This window comes from Homo sapiens, chromosome 4, assembly GCF_000001405.40.
Source record: "Homo sapiens chromosome 4, GRCh38.p14 Primary Assembly".
NCBI lineage: Eukaryota > Metazoa > Chordata > Mammalia > Primates > Hominidae > Homo > Homo sapiens.
The window spans coordinates 7,680,123-7,698,370 of NC_000004.12; the positions used below are offsets into that span (position 1 = coordinate 7,680,123).

Sequence of the window (18,248 nt, forward strand, 5' to 3'; positions counted from 1 at the left end):
CGGCACATTCCCCGGGCCTCCCTTCAGCTCCAGACCACACAGCAAACGATGTGCAGCCATTTGCTGGGTGTGCGGCTTGTCCGAAGTCTAGCACAGAGGGACCTGTCTGCAGCCAATCTATAGGCAACACTCACACTCATACTCACACACAGAGACACAGGCTCACACCCATGCACGTGCCCCACCCTCTCCCAGCCGCCGGCAGCTCCTCTCCTGCAGACCAAGGCCAGAGTCTGGGGAGAACTCGAGACCCCTGTGACATGGAGTCCTGGGTTTCTGCAGGGCCTGCTCTTGGTACCACATCTCACAAAGAAGCTGGACTCTGGGCCAGGGGCCCCATCTGTAGTCACTGAGTCGAGTGAGCAGGAGACAGAGTGATGCCACATGGGCAAGAAGGAGCTGGCTCCTCCCGGCCCCTGGGACTGTCTGCCCAACAGGACCATTGATGAAGCTTCTTCTGCAGAGAGGAAGGCTACCCTCTAGACCACAGCATCCTATGCAGATAATACAGGCAGCTGAATGCTCTGTGCATGGATTTGCCACATGTATGGCGTTCCCTAGAAACTCTGGGAGGCTGCTCGCAGTGTGATCCCCTTGGCTCCTGACTCTGTCTGCCTGTGTTGATAAGACCTGGTGGGTCCCAAGGAAAAGAGCCTGCCCTGCCCCCCAACTCCCACATCCAATGAAGGCAGCCCTGAGTCTCTGAGAGCCAACTCCGAGGGTAACCTAAACAAGCCACAGCCATCAGTGGGAGGCAAAAGATCTGTACCACCATGTGCCTGTCCCAACCTTGCACTTTGAAACAGATAATTTGTTTGCTAGTTTCCCAGCTCCACAGATGGATTTTACCCAGAGCTCACCCACATCTGGTTTAGATGACTCAGATGATAAGGTTTGGAACTTTTGATCTGGTGATATTTAGATGAGACTTTTGACTTTGAATGAATGCTGTAATGAGATGAGAACTTTGGAAACCTTGATGGGGTGAATGTATTTTACTTGAAGACTGATGCGTGTCCTTGGGGGTCAGGGGAGGGACTGCACTGGAGAGAATAGTGACCCCCTCAAAGATGGCCACATCCCGAGCCCCAGAACCTGCATGTATGTTACCTTATGTGGCAGAGGAGGAGTGAGGTTGCAGAAGGAATTAAGGCTGCTCATCAGCAGACAGGAAGATGACCTGGGTTATCTGGAGGGGCCTAGTGTCAGCACATGGATCCTTAACATTGGAAGAGGTAGGCAGGAGAGAGAGTCAGAGAAGATGTGATGGTGGAAACACGGTCAGAGAGATGCAGCGTTGCTAGCTTTGAAGATGAAGGAAGGGGCCATGAGCCAAGGAATGCCGGTGCCTCTAGAAGCTGGAAAAGGCAAGGAAAGGGAAGCTCCTCTGGAGCCTCCAGAAAGGAATGCGATTCCACTGACACTTAACTGTAGCCGCATGCCAGGCTTCTGCCCTCCAGAGCTGTGGGAGAATACGTGTGTGTTGTCTGAAGCCACTGGGTTTGTGACCATCTGTTATAGCAGCTGCTGGAAGCTCAGACCCCAGTCTGCTGGTTTCATCATCATGGCTGCTGTTGTTCTCCCCATAAGGACCTGCTGGAGTTGTGAGAATTCAGTGAGAGGACACATTTTAAGCTCAGTGCCTGTAACATAGAAGCACTTAATAACTGTATGCCGTTACTATCCTAGAGGGAATCTTTGGTTATGGGCCTTTGGGCAGGTTGCACCCCCTCTGAGCCTCAGTTTCCCATGGTGCATGCTGCATATACAGGTGCAGAAACAGCTTCTGGCCTGGCACACAGGAGGCCTTGATAAGTGGTGGGCATTCCCGTGCCTCTTCACACCACACTAGTGGGTCTTGATAAATACGGGTCAAAACCCTCCATGAAATAAGGAACTTGCAGGAAAAGACCCTCTCTGGGAGCAAACCACTCGGTTGAACTATGTGAAGTTGCTGATAGTTGCACGTTTCTTATAGGTCAACTTAGTAACCACTCTTGGATATGTTTGGGTCACTGCCATGGGCCTCTTAGGAAACCTTGAGAAAGGGACCAGGTTAGCCCTGAGCAATGAAGGCAAGTGGAGCCCTGTCCCGGGTGTTCTAGGGTAAGCATGGACCCTCCTGTCTTCATTCCTTGGCATGTTTGTATGGGGATTGAGCTGGGGGTCCGCAGAGGCAAGCCCAGAGGCAATTCTATTGGTCCAGGATGTGTGGTCCAATAGAAAGAAGAGGCACTGGGAGGATCTGAGCTCTGAATCAGGACCTCTGAGGCAAGGATGGGGTGACTCTGAGGGACAGGCAGGTCAGGGCTCCAGAACCCCACTTGCCATCTGATGGTTGGTGTCTGGACCTGGGAGAACAGCTCAGCACCATGAAAATCATTCAGGCTTCAGAGCTAGACAGAACTAGCTTCCCACTAAAACTGGGGCCAGAGTCTTGAATCCCTGGCCCCTCTAAACCTCACTCACCTCTAGAATGTGTCTCAGCTGCTGGACATTGTGACTGTGAAATGAGGCCACATGTGCAGAGCACTTTAGCAAGGGGCTGGAGCATGGTGGATACTTGGTCATCAGAGTGCTCCAGTGTAAGTTTACAGTCCTTCTTTTATTTTTGTCCCAGGTCAGAGGGGTGAAAGGAGTCTTCCTGGCAAACCAAAAAATTGATGGGAAAGTGATGACGCTTATAACCTACAACAAGGGCCGCGACTGGGATTACCTGAGGCCACCCAGCATGGACATGAATGGAAAACCAACCAACTGCAAGCCTGTAAGTACCTCTGCTCACATCACACACCATCCTTGGCGTGGATGCTAGATATAACTTCAGTAATCAAGAAGGTCAGAGGTGGTGATGTCTGAGAAGGACCATCTGAGACACATGAACCACCTATTTCTGCTGGGTGTGGTAGAGAGGGTCAAATGAAACTCCTTGTTTTACAGAAAAGTTAATTGGAGGTCAGAGAGGGAAGTATATCAGTTTTTGACACAGAATTGCTGTGCAATAAACCACCCAAAACAACAACATTTACTCCCCAGATCTACAGGTGGGCTCAGCTGGGCGGCTCTGCTGATCTTGTCTGGGCTGAGCTGGGCAGCTCTGCTGACCTTGGCTGGGATCAGCTGAGCGGCTCTGCTGACCTTGGCTGGGCTCAGCTGAGCGGCTCTGCTGACCTTGGCTGGGCTCAGCTGAGTGGCTCTGCTGACCTTGGCTGGGCTCCGCTGAGCGGCTCTGCTGATCTTGTCTGGGCTCAGCTGGGTGGCTCTGCTGATCTTGTCTGGGCTCAGCTGGGTGGCTCTGCTGATCTTGTCTGGGCTTGCTCATGTCAGGGAATGGACTGATTTAGGCTGGTCTCTGCTCTGCACATCTTGCATCCTTCTCCTGGAACCAGCTTAATTCTCATGGTGATACCAGAAGTACAAGAGGATAAACAGAAACAGGCAAGTACAATTCAAGCCTGCTGGTACATCTGCTAAATCTTACTGGTCAACATCAAGGACCTGGGAATTGTACTCTGCCCATGGGAGTGAGGGCTGAGGAGCAGACACTTGCTTCTAATCTGCCATGGAGGGCAGTGTACCATCGCACTGCCAGTAAGTGATAGAGCTGGGCCAGAGTTCAGACATCCTGAGCCCCAAAGCTGGTCCACTATCCCAGGGGCACCTTTCTACATGAATAGAAGTATCGACTGCCTGAGTCCTTGGTTGCCTAGAGTGGAGAATCTCTCAAAGTAGCTGGGACTCTTGCCCGCTCTCATGTGGCTACCAGGGATCCAGGTGGTGCACAGGCCCATGCTGGTGAGGAAGGAGAGACAGAGCTGTAAGGAGCCCTGGTCCTAGCTAAGGTGAGCACTCAGCTGCCAGGGACCAGTGGATGCAAGGGAGGAAGAGGCGAAATGGGCCAAGAGAATCTGACCAGGCTTCTCACTCCCCTTCCAACACCCCTGTGAGACACGGCCTCTCCCGGGGCTTCTCTCCTTGCATACCGCAGGGAGCTCACCACCACCAGCATCCCTGCCCCTTCCTAGGTGCTGGGCAACTCAGGGTGGGAGAAGGGTCTAGTGTTAGAGCCGCACAGAGCTGCAGTCTTAGCCCCCTGACTATGTGATCTTGGCTACATCAACCAGTGCCTCTGAGCCTCTGTTGAAAACGGAGGAAGATGATAAACATCCCTTTGGCATTGGAGTGAGGATGAGATGAAAGAATGCAGAGACTGGCCTATGCCTGACATGGAGCAATCTGCAAGGAAGAGCCAATCCCTTCCCTTTCAAGCTCTCCCTCTTTCTACGCTGTCCCCAAGGCCTAGAATGCCCTTTCCCTTTTCCTCATCCAGCAAGCTCCTACTAACACCTGAAAACCCTACCCACATGTTCCTTCCACTGAGGAGCCCTTCACTGGGCATACTGCTTCTCTGTCTGTTTCCCACTGTCACCCATAAGCCCTTCTTAGAGACTGCACCCTGGGGACACCTGAAACCACCCATCACTCTTCCTCAGCTTCCTCATGTGTAAAATAGAAAGAACAAAAGTACCCGTTTGACAGGTTTATATTCAGCAAATCTGCGTGAGCACTTGCAATGTGCCAGGCACTGTTCTGCAGGCTCAGAACACACCAACCAGCAAAACAGAAGACAATTCCCTGTCTTCCTGGGATTCCACCTGGCACACAGCAGGGCTCAGAAAATGGTGAGCCCCCTCCCCACCACCACCACCAGCCCCAGTGTTGGCCCATGGAGGCCGTGGTACTAAGAGGGGAGGAATTCCTCCTCCCAGAGAGCCCTGACCCTGGGGCCAGGGTGGGACTCTGTGGCCCCCAGGGCAACCCCTTGCTCTAAGCTGAGGCTTGAGCTCTGACTCGTGAACACTCACCTCTCAGGGGCCGGCTGCCCGCCTCTGCTCAAGCCCCGCTCCTGCTGATAACACCTGTCGACCTGTGTGGAGAATTAATTACCAGCCCTTTGTAAAAACGCTTCCCAGAACAGAATTGCTGTGAAAGGGCTAATTTTTGTATCATCATTGGCAAAGTTAAGCCATATTAATCTGTCAAAGCAAGTTTTTGCTAAGAATAGACTCTTGTCTGCGATTATGCAGCTCAGTGAGGAGATAACCTCGGTGAGATTTATGTCCTGGCCTTGAAATAATGAAATGGGAGCAAACTGGTGAGCGTGTGGCCTCAGGCAGGCATGTGGGAACCCGACTGGGCACGGGGAAATGCAGAGCCAAGTGCATGGAGCCCACGTGGGTACAACAGACATCAAATTACAGCCTCACGGGCTGGGCACAGTGGCTCACACCTGGAATCCCAGCACTTTGGGAGGCCGAGGCAGGCAGATCACCTGAGGTCAGGTTTGAGACCAGCCTGGCCAACATGATGAAACCCCGTCTCTACTAAAAATACAAAAATTAGCCAGGCATGGTGGCACATGCCTATAATCCCACCTACTTGGGAGGCTGAGGCAGGAGAATCGCTTGAACCTGGGAGGTGGAAGTTGCAGTGAGCTGAGATCGTGCCACTGCACTCTAGCCTGGGTGACAGAGCGAGATTCCACCTCAAAAATTAAAATAAATAAATATATATATATATGACAGCCGTATGGCTCAGAAGGCCTGGGCTATCCTGTGTGTGTGGCCATGGCATCTCCAAGGGTGAAAGTGCAGGGGCAGGACAAGTTGGGCCACTCACAGCACCTCCTGACTGTGTCCCTCCTGCAGCCACACAGCCTCTCAATGAATGGGCAAACTGTACCTGAGGACTTAGCGCTCATAAAAGTGATGCCTGATTATTGCAGAATGCTTGGAAGATACAGAAAGGTATAAAAAGGGAAATAAGGTATCACCAGAATCACACCATCCAGAAAAACAATAACTGGGCATTTTTGTTCTTTACAATCTTTTCGCTCATACACACGTTATGAAGTTGTCATTGGGATCCCACACGTGCGTGATTTTTCAGCCCTCTGTTTTTCTCTGAACTCTGGGTCACAAATCTTTGCTCAGGCCACTTGACCAGCTTCCCGTCTGGGGATACCTCCTTCCCTCAATGGGGAAATGCAGGGATGGCTTTAACAGGAGTGGTGTGATCAGATCTGTTTTAGGATGATTCAGCTTCATTGGAAAGTGGTTTGAATCTGTTTGCATCTTGAATTCAGCATAAAACTTCATTCACCGTGCAGTCCATGGTCACTCTTCTAAGGCGTGAGGCTGCAGTGAGTGCCAGGCGTCCAGGTGGCTGGTGCTGCATCTCCCGGCCCTGGTCCATCTGGTAGGCTTTGATGATTTGCTAGACACTTCTTTAGGGCACCCTCTGGCCCCTATGTGCCAAACGGACAGAGAAGGGAGAGTCCTGGAGCAGTGTGAGTCCCCAGCTTGGCCTGCCTCCAGCCCTGCAGGAACCCGGGCCCACCTCGGTCAACACTGGAGCATTCTGCATGCACTCCCAGGGCCACAGCCTGCCCCGGGGTTCTCCTGTCCTCGTCCCTGGGTGGCCTCAGAGGAAGCCCTGTCTCTGACCACATGCACCCAAGGCGGGTTCTGGGGCTCCTGATGCGCACTGGCCTGCCACCTGTGCAGGACATCCTGGTGCCCCATGGGCAGGCACCTCCAAGCCTGCCGGCATTGCCCTTCTTTTCACCTGGTGTCCCAGGCTTGCGTGGGAGTGCGTGTGTCAGACACCAGCATGGCACCTGCAGCTGCCCCAGGAGAAGGGGGAGCCGTCTGTTTGGCCGTCAGCAGGCCGCAAGGCGAATGCAAAAGGGTTCATAGAGCCGCCTGTGTTCACCAGTGGCCTGCAGGCCGTAACTGGCCACCCCACAGGGAACCCTGAGGAGGGTTCCACTTCTCTGGCCTGAGTGCCAGGCAACCAGAATAGGCCACTAGTGGCGAGGGGTGGGGAGAGGTAGCTAGGGTTTGTGAAGCAGCACCCTCTAATTCAACTCTAACCACTGTGCACGCAGCAAGTGACCAGATGTGCACAGCTCATCGGGGGAACGGGAGAGGTTGACGGAGACCAACCCATGAGCTCTGGCCTTCTAGGAAACCTAGAACAGCAAAGCATGGCAGAGCCAGGGCGTCCTCTGCCGGGCACACTGCTGCTGGGGACTCCTGCACTACACCTTCTCCTTCTCCTGATTAGAGCTCCCTTCTGCAGCGCAGAAGCCCAACCCTGCCTACCAAGATCACAGCAGCCTCCCTCCTCAGCAAGTCGCCTCTGTCTTTCTGCCTGAGCTATCTGGGGTGGGGCAGGAGGGTAGGACTGAAAGGTGCCAGCAAGTCTATTCACTCGTAGGCCTGCTTTTCCACTGTAAGAAATCAGAAAAATCTATTGCAGCGGGCAACGTCTTAACACCTCACAGGTTTTCATTGGGGCCCATTTGTCACTATTGGATCCAGGTGTTTCCGGAACCCTCAGATGGCTCTCCAGGGGTGACACAGTGCCCAGGCTCCTGCCACCCGAGGCCCTGTGGTATTCAGCTCCGGGCTCCCCAGGTTCCACTGGGGATGGTCTCAGTCCCTCAGTCATCTTCAGGATGTGCGTCTGCAATGGACACAGGGCCACCTTTCAGCTGAATTTTCAACCTTTCTTTTTTTGGTTTTTAACAGCTTTGTTGAGATGTCACATCCTGCACAGTTCACCTTTCAAATGCATAGTTCAGTGGCTTTTAGTCTATTCACAGAGTTGTGCCACCATCACCACTGTCCCTTTTAGGACATTTTCACCACCCAAAAAAGGAAGGCCCCGATCCTTAGCTGTCACCTCGCTATCCCCCATCAGCCTCCAGCCCCTAGCAACCAACTGTCCGTTCCTGGCTCTGTAGATTCCCTGCTCCGGGCATTGCTCATGGGTGAATCGTACAACATGTAATACAACCAGTACATCTGTTAAACCCTTGAGCAGACAAATAAAGCCTGTCTGCCAACTGCGGCCACCACCTGGTCGCATCTTATCCAAGTCAATATCCAATTTCCTGAATGGTTTAACTTTTAAGTTAGAGTCACCTGTGTAAAACGTAAGCAATTCATGGGCCAGAAGAAAGTGTTATAAAGACATGAAATGAAGAGAGAGGATACCTCTGACGTGATGTTAGTAGATGATATGATACCGCAATGACGAGGGGATTCTGGAATGACCCCTGCAGAGCGGGTCAGCAGGCCTCACCGTCACTGTCTTCATTTTGCAGATGAGGAAACTGAGTCCCAAGGCTGCCCAGAAAATTAGTGGTGTCTCCTAAGTTACAATTTGGATCTCTGAGTACCCAGTTCTAGCGTACTTCTAAGCTGGAGATTTTTAACAGAAAAAAGTAATTTTAAGGTGGCAAATACAATGTTTACCATTCTTATCAGTAAACAATTGGGCAGTATCTTGCCCAGGGGAAGGGCTGGACCCCAGAGCTGTGCCATAGTAATCCAATATCCTGTGAAGCAGAGGTTATTGCCCCATCTCACAGAGAAGAAAGAAAGGCACAGAGAGGCTAAGCATTTTTCATAAGGCCACACTGCCATTTAGAGGAGGTACGAGGAGTCCAAGCCCTGCCCTTTCTGTGACCAGCCTGAGGATTGCGCTGCCTCACTTCACCCTATGGAGTTCCCTGACTTGGGGAAATTAGGAAGGCTGAGCCCAGAGTCATTACCCCACAAAGCCTTTTGGCATCTGTTGGTTCAGTGGGGTCTCTCGTGGTGCACCCAAGGAGGGCTCGGCCAGCCAGACCTCTGGGACCCAGTATCTCAGGCTGCCAGAGAGAGATCAGGAGGAATGGGGTCTCCAGAGACAACCCCCTGGAGCTCTTGCACACTTAACCCACCCCTCTGTATCTCAAAGTGAGAGGGTCTTACGGGGTGACCCCAGCTGTCCTCTGATGCCAGGGATACTGTGGTCACATAAGAGGCTCCCAATAAAGGTTCTGGGTAGGTGAATGAATAAGTATGAGCTTGGGCTGTGCAGGCTCCAGGAATCACATCCCATGGCCCGGCACTTGACCCGGCACTTGGGCTCTTGACCGATGCCCAAGAGCCCTCAGTGGGAGAAGCCCCAGCAGCTGCATCCGTGAGCAGAGGCACCACACCCAGGGGCTGTAGGAGTCCCTAATCTAGATTAGGGAACCAACAGATCCTCCCAGGTGCCTCACTTGTGCCCACTTCCCCCTCCCAGGCTGTCAGCACAGCACCTGCTGAAGCTTCCCTTGTACTTCCCACCCTTTCCCTAAAGGTCAGCCTCACACCTGCTTCCCATCCTCCATCCGTTCCTCCAAGGCACTCCTGGCCCAGCCTTCTCTCCCAAAAAGCCACAGGGGCAGATTTGTCATCAGGCTTAGTTTTCCTAAGGATGCTCCTACTCATGTGTTGACAGTTGCGTCCTTTCTCTTCCTTGCAGCCAGACTGCCACCTGCACCTGCACCTGCGCTGGGCAGACAACCCCTACGTATCAGGCACCGTGCACACCAAGGACACCGCCCCAGGCCTCATCATGGGTGCAGGTAGGTGGCTTCCATCACAGGTGGCTGGCAGGTGCCATTACAGCCCAAGAGTACCTCCAATCTTAAGGGTAAAAAGGGATGGTCATGAGCCTGAGGCCATAGTATGTCCTTTAGGAGGCAGTACCACTGCATCTCCAGGAAGCTCAGCTCTCATGGCAAATTCCGAGAAATGAATGCATGGCCCAGGGTGGGCATATGGTATGTGTTGGCAGAATGGAAAGATGGACAGATGGAAGAGTGGATGAATGGATGGATGGACAGACAAATTGATAGATGATGAATGATGGATAGGTGGATGGTGGATGAATGATGGCTGGCTGGATGATGGACAGATGGTGAATGGATGGATGGAGGATGGACAGATCAATGGATGGATGATGGATGGATGATGGTGGATGGGTGGTAGATGGATGGATGAGTGGATGGATGAGTGGGTTCATGGATGATGTATGATGGATAGATGCTGAATTGATGGATGGATAGATGAATGGATAGATAGATGAATGGATGGATGATACATGATGGATGGATGATGGTGGATGGGTGGTGGATACGTGGATGGGTGGGTGGGTGGATGGATGAGTGGATAGACGAGTAGATGGATGGATGAGTGGATGAAAGGATGAGTGGGTGGATGGATGATGGATGATGGATAGATGCTGAATTGATAGATGGATAGATGAATGTATGAATGATGCATGATGGATGGATGATGGTGAATGGGTGGTGGATAGGTGGACGGGTGGGTGGGTGGGTGTGTGGATGGATGGATGAGTGGGTGGATGGATGATGAATGATGGATAGATGCTGAATTGATGGATGGATGATGGTGGGTGTGTGGGTGGGTGGATGGATGGATGGATGAGTGGATGAATGGATGAGTGGGTGGATGGATGATGGATGATGGATAGATGCTGAATGGATGGATGGATAGATGAATGGATGGATGATGCATGATGGATGGATGGCGGTGGATGGGTGGTGGATAGGCAGATGGATAGGTGGATGGGTGAGTGGATGGATGGATGAGTGGATGGGTGGATGATAGACGGATGATGGGTGATGGATAGATGGTGAATGGATGGATGGATGACGAATGAATGATGAATGGATAGAAAAACTGATAGATGGGTAGGTGGATCAATGGATGGATGATTTATATCATGGTTGATATTTATTGGCCCCTGAAGAAAGTTCTAGTTTAGTGGGGGGAGAAAAACAAGTATACAACTAGCACTTTTTAAAAAACCCAAAATTATAATTTTTGTGTTTGTCTCTTCCACTAAACTAGAACATCCAAGAATCCTGGTGTACTGATTAAATAATACCATAAAATGAGGTTGATTTGCTTTAGAAGAACCATTCAAAATACAAAGTAGAGCCACCTGTCTGAGGTCGCTTGGCTGGTGTGTGGGAGAATCGGGGAATACTTTGCACATGGGGTCTGTGACAGTCAGACAGGCAGCATCTCCTGCAGACACTGAACAGCAGAGGCACAGGCCCAGAGTTCACACTTCCTGAACCCAGGACCCCTTCCCTCCATTTCCCCCAGCACCATCTGCCACACAGAGGGGGTGGCTGTGTGGCCAGTGGCCAAGGACCATATGGATGTGGACCCCAGACTCTGAGCTGGACACCACATCTTACCCTTCACTATATCGCAGCACCGAGCTGGGGCCTGGCCCAGGGTGGGCCCTCCAAGGCTGTTTGTGAATGAGTGAGTGAAGGGACAAGTGAAAGAGCGGCCATGTTGTGATGGCAGGAATGGCCTTCTGGGTGGAAGGGGGAACGTGGGGACCCCAAAGGACCAGACCAGAGTGCAGGGAGTGGCTGGAGGTGAAGCCTACGTGCAGGGCTGGGTCTGACGGCAGAGACCTGGCCTGTCTGGGGAGCTTGGAGCTTTGCACCTGGGAAGGGAGGGGATTGTGAACAAAGCCCTTCAGCTTCCGGAGTTCCTCTGCATGCTCTATATGCCCGGGGTCCTAGGCAGTGACAGCCCATCTGGACAGCCTCTGTCTGCCCCCACAATGATCAACGAAAATGTGACCCATCAGCATCAATGTGAAGCCGCTGACTGCCTATCAGCTTCCACGCACAGACAGGCTCACCACCCACGTTAGACACCCCCAATCCTGTACACTTGGTTTCCCGGGCTCCTCAATGACAGGGTATTTAAAATGCACTGTCTTGATTCGCTGAAACCCCAAATTCTTGACCAAAGTGCAAAAAGGCATGATTTCCAATGTTTCCACTGCTCAAAGGCCCTGAGAGCCCAGAATGAGGGTCTCGGTCTCCCAACATCTCTCAGTGCACCCCTGAATTGTGCAGGAGTCATGCAAAGCACCGAGAGCAGCCCCCCTCACTCTGTGGGGGTGTCAGTCACAGCCTTCCTCCCTCCCTGCTTGCCCCCCACTGTCCCTACAAGGGCAGGAGACTACACTTCTATTTTATCCACTTCTATTCAGTCTTGGCCAGGGCTTTCCTGGAAGGTGGAGCCAGGCATGCAAGGTGGGCCAATTGATGTGTCCATTGTTTCCAGCCTCCTCTCCAGCCCTGAGCATCTGCTGGGAGCAGGAGGAAAAGGCGCGTGGGCTGGCTTCACATCTGCTGGCCCGACATGGCTGCCTGCCCTGGCACAGGTCCCAGTGCCACGTGACCGCACTGCTGGAGGTGGCTGGGGATGATGGCTACCTGTTTCCACAGGGTCGCTCCCCTGCCCACCCCGCCGTTCATTCCTGAATTCCATCCCAGAGGCAGGCAGACAAGAGGGAAAAGCCCCAGGCTCTATGCCTCCCAGCTGTAGGACTCTGAGATTTCACTGCACTTCTCTGAGCCTCAGTTTCATCTGCAAAATGAGAGGATAAAACCTCCACTGTAAGGATGAGACAGGGTATGGCAGGAAACCTTCAAGGCAGGTGTGGTCTGCCAGGCTGTCCTCTCATCCAAGGGGACACTGGGCACTCCTGCCCCCATGCCAGGCACTGCACTGGGTACTGGAAATGAAGGAGCTAAGACTCAGCTGCTCGGGGTTGAACAGAGGAGCAAAGGGATGATGACCGCAGGGCCAGAAGCATCCTGATGCCGAGTGTTCCTACAAGATGGTCCAGAGGGACACAGGGTATGGGCACTCGATTCTTCCCTGGGGTTTGGATTGAGTCTGCTGGGCAAATGGGCATCTGCCAAGCCGACACACAGGGAGGACACTCTAGGCAGAGGGCACCGCGTGTGCAGGGTGGAGGTGGGGGAGTGCCGCGCTGGGGTCTCGAGCTCGAGGAGATGCATTCCAGTCTCTGGGGCCCATCCTCAGGTCCAGCCTCCAGAGGTCAGACTGCAGAGGGACCCAGAAAGTGGAGCCATGGCTCCAGCTACTAATAGAAGGGGATGGATTTGAGAAGCAAAGACAAAAACTTGACTTTTAACCCCCCGGTGGAGAATCAGCCATGTTGATCCCAGAAATCAACCCAGCCCTGGCCGAGGGTGCCGGTGGCGGGTTCTTCCCGACTGGGCGTGTTGCAGGACTGAACGGCTGGCTCCCTTCTGAGTGCTCCTGTGTTGGAGTGAGTGGCATCTGAAGGATACCTCATCTTCACCCTTTCTTCCTCATCTTCACCCTTTCTTCCTCATCTTCATCCTTTCTTCCTTTCAATAGACTAGGATAGGAATCCTCACACTGAGTTATACCCTGTGAGATCAATGTTTCCTGCTCCACACCTTCGGGGATCCCAGCGAGCCAGTGTTCCCGGACCCTGCACGGCCTGTGGCCAGCTGCCTCCCACCACCCCTTTGCCAAGGCTGCTCTCCATGCCCAGGGCAGGTCCTCGGGTTCCTGCTCCAGCTCTTGTGCCTCCCCTAGAAAGCCAAAGAGTGCAGAGTGTGTGCCAACCCCCACCTGCTCCTCAGATGCTGTGGGTGCCCCAGGTGATTATGGAGCCTGCTCCCTGCACTGTCCTTTGCCCCATCCTGGTCACTGGTCTGTGTCCCAGCTGATCATCCAGACGTCCTCAGGATCCAACACAGAGCAGAGGCCAGTGAACACTTCTCCATCCCTAGCCCTGGCAGAGGTGATGGTAGCATTTAGCCAAGAAAAGCTTGAGGGGGCCGTTTGGGAGCTGGGAGCACCACAGCCTGCCCTGTGCTGCTGGCTTGACTCAGGGAACTGAGTCTCAGAGCCAGTTGCAGGCCCAGCCCTCCCTAGCACAGTCCCTTTTTTGGCGACTCGGCCAGTCAAGGGCCCATCAATGTCAGGACATGTCTAGATGTGAGGGCGAGAAGCCCTTGGGCCTGGCTGAGGGGCCTGGGTGGGGTTGGGAGCTGAACTGAGCCCCACCAGTTCTGTGGACACTCACCGGGCCCTTCTAGAGATGGGAGCACCGGCGGAACCTGGAAGACTATGGGGCAGCCCACTCACCTGGGCCCCGGCTGTGTCTTGGTGATCGCCGGTGCTCCCTGTCTCGGGAGCCATTGGCGTCTGCCCCGCAGTCCTCCTTGGTGAAGTGTGGGTGGGGTAGATTTTGGTGTGTGGCTTTGCTCTGTTTTCTGGCTGCAGGGGCAGAGGAAGGATGGAGAGGAAGCATGTCTTCATTCAGTGAGCACTGACTCCTACCACTCTGCTGGCATCAAGGAAGGGCAGGGGTCCTGGGCCTGAGGAGAGGAGGCCCAAAGAGACACCAGAACACCCAGGCAGGGAGGCAGCAGAGAAGCTTCTCCCCTCATCACCTCCCTCCACCCTGGGACCTCAGTTTCCCATCCATAAAATGAGGGTGTCAGCCTCAGCTTTCTGGAGGCCCTTCCACTCTGACAGCCTGCAACGTGTTCCGTGAATCGCTCCTTCTTTCCCCCGAGACTGTTAGGTGACAGGCAGCCTGACAGCTTTGGTAGACAGAGCAAGGAAAACAGATAGCATTTCTTAAAAGACAGACGTGTGCACATTTGAAATTACAAACTGCAAATTGGCCCGCGCAGTGTGCTGACGCGGCAACACTCCCTGCCCGGCTCCGCCTGTGATGCGTGTGTCCCAGAGTGGCTGCTGGCGCCTGGGATAGCAGAAAGATAAAAGGCATCTTTTCTTTCTCTCCTCCCTGCTGCTTCTTCTGTTCATTCATTCACCTCACTCACTTCATTCATTCAGCAGCCATCGCTCAGCACCTTTTGTTTGCCAGGCACCACACTGCACAGATTCCACACCTGCCCCTCTGCCCCACCCATCCTATCTGTCTTGCACCTGCCCGGGTCCACATTTCTGCCCAGGCTGCTCCCTCTTCCTTGGACACCCAGTCCCCTTTCCCTTGGACAGCCACGTTCAGCTCTCCAGGCTCCACTCGGAGGCTCTTTCCTGCCTGAGTCTCTCCTTGAGGCTCTCCTTGAGGCTCTCCTCACAGGTCCACCGTCCTGGCTCTGTGTTCACCTGCACGGCCACCCTTGTCTGCTAGATTCAGAGCCCTCAGGGAGCATGGGCCACAGCTCATTCAGCTCAGCTCACCAGAGCTCAGCACAGGGCTGTGCAGAGAGTAGACACTCAGTAAATGCCATTGAATACATGCAGGAGAGAGTGAGTGGTGGAACTCAGATAATAGGTAGATGGAGGGATGATCAATTGGATGGATATTAGATTAATAAAAGATGGATGGGAGGATGCATAGATGGATGGATGAGTGGATGGGTGGATGGTTAGATGGATGGGTGGGTGGATGGATGGATGGATGGTTGGATGGGTGAGTGAATGGGTGGGTGGGTGGATGGATGGATGGATGGATGGATGGATTGGTGGGTGGATGGATGGATGGATGGATGGATGGATTGGTGGGTGGGTGGTTGGGTGGGTGGGTGGATGGTTGGATGGATGGATGGATTGGTGGGTGGGTGGGTGGATGGTTGGATGGGTGGGTGGATGGGTGAGTGGATGGGTGGGTGGGTGAGTGGATGGGTGGGTGGGTGAGTGGATGGGTGGGTGGGTGGATGGATGGATGGATGGATGCATGGATGGATGGATGGATGGATTGGTGGGTGGGTGGGTGGATGGATGGATGGATGGATGGATGGATGGGTGGGTGGATGGATGGATGGATGGATGGATGGATGGATGGATGGATGGATGGATGGGTGGATTGGTGGGTGGGTGGATGGATGGATGGATGGATGGATGGATTGGTGGGTGGATGGATGGATGGATGGATGGATGGATGGATGGATGGATGGATGGATGGATTGGTGGGTGGGTGGGTGGATGGATGGATGGATGGATTGGTGGGTGGGTGGATGGATGGGTGGATGGGTGGATGGGTGGGTGGGTGGATGGATGGATGGATGGATGGATGGATGGATGGATGGATGGATGGATTGGTGGGTGGGTGGGTGGATGGATGGATGGATGGATGGATGGATGGACAGATGGATGAATAGGTAGGTGGGTGAGTGGGTAGATGGGTGGATTTACGAGTAGCTAGGTAAATGAACTTAATAAGACAGGCACACAAACACCCTGCCACTCTGAGAACTAACTTTTAATTCATCTATTTGAGGACAATCCATCTTCTTTGGAATTTTCCAGTGACTTCTAAACTTGACCCTGGATAAAGTACTTCTGAAAGTGCCACCTAAATAAAGCTTCAAAGGGCAAATGATATACAAGTCACCCAGGGTGGGGCCTCTGGGGCCCCAGAACAGCTTCAATGCCGTCATCAGGGTCCCCATCATCCTGGAGACTTGGACCCCTGTCTCTGCCACAGCCATTGGGTACAGTGGAAGTCCCAAATCTGTCTCATCAGAAATCCTTTGTTCAAGCTATTTCAGGATGCTGGTTAGGGTGGGCCAGGTGCAGCACCAGAGGCTGTGATGATTTTCCTGGTGCTTGTGCTGTTATGCACGGCCGTTGTTCTTTCTACAGGAGACTCACGTGGGTTCAGCTTCCTCATCTGTAACATGAGGTTGGCTTGGATGCTGGCCATGAGTTCTTCCCATTCTGACACTGCCCACAGCATTAAGTCTGAGCCCCTCCGAGTAGGCATCAAGGCTGGAGATGGACCCAATCAGCCCAGTGCTGGGGCTCCAGTAAACCCAAACCACATTCTGCACCCCCAGTTGGTTTGGTGCCCACCTCACCTTCCTCCCAAATGTCCACCCAGCAGATAGTGAGACCCTGGTGTGTGCCCACCTGCCTTCTCTCCTGCACCTGCCTCTGGCTCCTCTGCACCCGGTGCCCAGGAGCTGTCTCCAAACACAAACTCGGCCATGTCCTGCCCTGCTTTCAAGCCCCACAGGGGCTGCCCATGATTGGCCCACCTGGCCCACGTCCTCTCCAGCCCATCCCTAGCCACACTCCATGCTTCTTATTTGTGGACCACACTGGTGGGTTCTCTGAGGTACCTGAGCTCCACCTGTCCCGGGCCTCTGCTGGAGTCCCCTGAATGTGGCTGTCTTTGGGCAGGGCTGATCCTTCACTGCATAGACCCAGACCCAGGGCCCCAGCGCAGCAGCCACAGCAGGTCTGTGGGGGATATGGAGACCCGGGGCACTGGCCACCGTTGCTTGAGGTTTTTCCATGCTCAGACTTGTTAAAGGGGTAAAGCTGGACGATCCTAAGGGTAGTACTGCCCCTTTTCTTTTGGACCAGGTAACCTGGGCTCACAGCTGGTGGAATATAAAGAAGAAATGTACATCACGTCAGACTGTGGTCACACCTGGCGGCAGGTAAGCTGGCTGGGAGGTGCCTGGTACCCCCCACCCCATCCAGCCGGGACCCTCAGGAGACACTTCTGTTCTGTCATCCCGTCCATTCCAGAGGCTCTGTGGGAGAAGCTCTGAGCCATGTCTCCCATCTTGCAGCCAAAGTGGCTGGAGCCAGGGCTCACTTTAGCAGATGTGCATCTGCTGGGTTTGAAAAGCAAGTCCAGGCAGATGGCTCGGACCACCCAGCTGCTCTTCCCATGGCCACTGATAGGGAGTGACAGATGCAAGAAACGTCTCCACACAGTTGGACGTGTCACTGCGAACATCTGAGAAACGGGGATAAATGCCAGGGAACAGCACAGGGAGGAGGTCCCAGCCAGGGAGCCACATGGTGCTTCTGAGCCTTGACTTGGGCTCTTTTGGGAGCCCAGAGAGAGGCCAGGAGGGGGCTACGGGGGACTCCGGGTTCCTGGCAGGGGCTGTGGACACAGCAGTGAAAGAGAATATGGGGGGAGGAGCAGGTTGTGGGGGTCATTGTGAGTCTGGGTTGGGGTGTCTGGGGGCTATCCCAGGGCCCGAGAAGAGAAAGGAAGTGAGGAGCGGAGAGGAAGTGCACACTTACGCAGGATGCGGCCACTCCCACCAGCACAGGATGGCCTGGGCAGGGTCCCTCTGTGCTCCATGCAGCCCCACGTGGAGCTCAGATTCGCAGACCAGAGGCAATGGTGCTGATGGCCCTCAGGGTGTGGAGAAAGCGAGGCTGAGGGAGGGATGCCAGTCGGTACCACGTGTCCTGCGTGGTCCAGGCAGCTCTAGGATCCACGCCTGGGCTCCCCACCCCAGGAGGGGGCACCGCCTCACTGTACACTGGCTGTTTCTTTCCAGGGGGCGGGGAACATGGTCTTTCTGGCTGAAGCTGGCCTGCCAACCTCATGGAGTGGCAGTGTCTGCTTTATATACTGGGGAAATGAATCAAACTTACATATGGCTATCTCCTTCCAGACAAGACGTTCTGTTTGAGGTCAGTGTTTTACACGCCCGAGTACCCCAGCCACGGCCCCCCTCCCACACAGCAATGCTCTGGGCACACGTGTTGATCCCAAAGTGCAGGCTTCAC

At 53.8% G+C, this 18,248-nt stretch overlaps 1 protein-coding gene across 9 annotated transcripts in view, besides 2 other annotated features; it reads left to right on the forward strand.

Annotated features, from left to right (window-relative positions):
* The window catches only part of SORCS2 (sortilin related VPS10 domain containing receptor 2), a 550,290-nt gene that overhangs the window by 487,585 nt on the left and 44,457 nt on the right, over positions 1-18,248 (forward strand). For all 9 annotated transcript variants that reach the window (XM_005247987.5, XM_011513515.3, XM_011513516.3 and 6 more), the window contains 3 exons: positions 2,621-2,767; positions 9,364-9,466; positions 17,076-17,152. In XM_005247987.5, the coding sequence (XP_005248044.2) occupies positions 2,621-2,767; positions 9,364-9,466; positions 17,076-17,152 (327 nt within the window). The remainder of the gene's footprint in view (positions 1-2,620; positions 2,768-9,363; positions 9,467-17,075; positions 17,153-18,248) is intronic.
* Positions 16,762-17,303: an enhancer, noted in NCBI's record as "H3K4me1 hESC enhancer chr4:7698611-7699152 (GRCh37/hg19 assembly coordinates)". NCBI's record gives its function as "activates a minimal SCP1, AML or CMV promoter by ChIP-STARR-seq in naive H9 embryonic stem cells {active_cell/tissue: H9 hESC(naive)}" and the evidence as "EXISTENCE:reporter gene assay evidence [ECO:0000049][PMID:30033119]".
* Positions 17,304-17,846: an enhancer, noted in NCBI's record as "H3K4me1 hESC enhancer chr4:7699153-7699695 (GRCh37/hg19 assembly coordinates)". NCBI's record gives its function as "activates a minimal SCP1, AML or CMV promoter by ChIP-STARR-seq in naive H9 embryonic stem cells {active_cell/tissue: H9 hESC(naive)}" and the evidence as "EXISTENCE:reporter gene assay evidence [ECO:0000049][PMID:30033119]".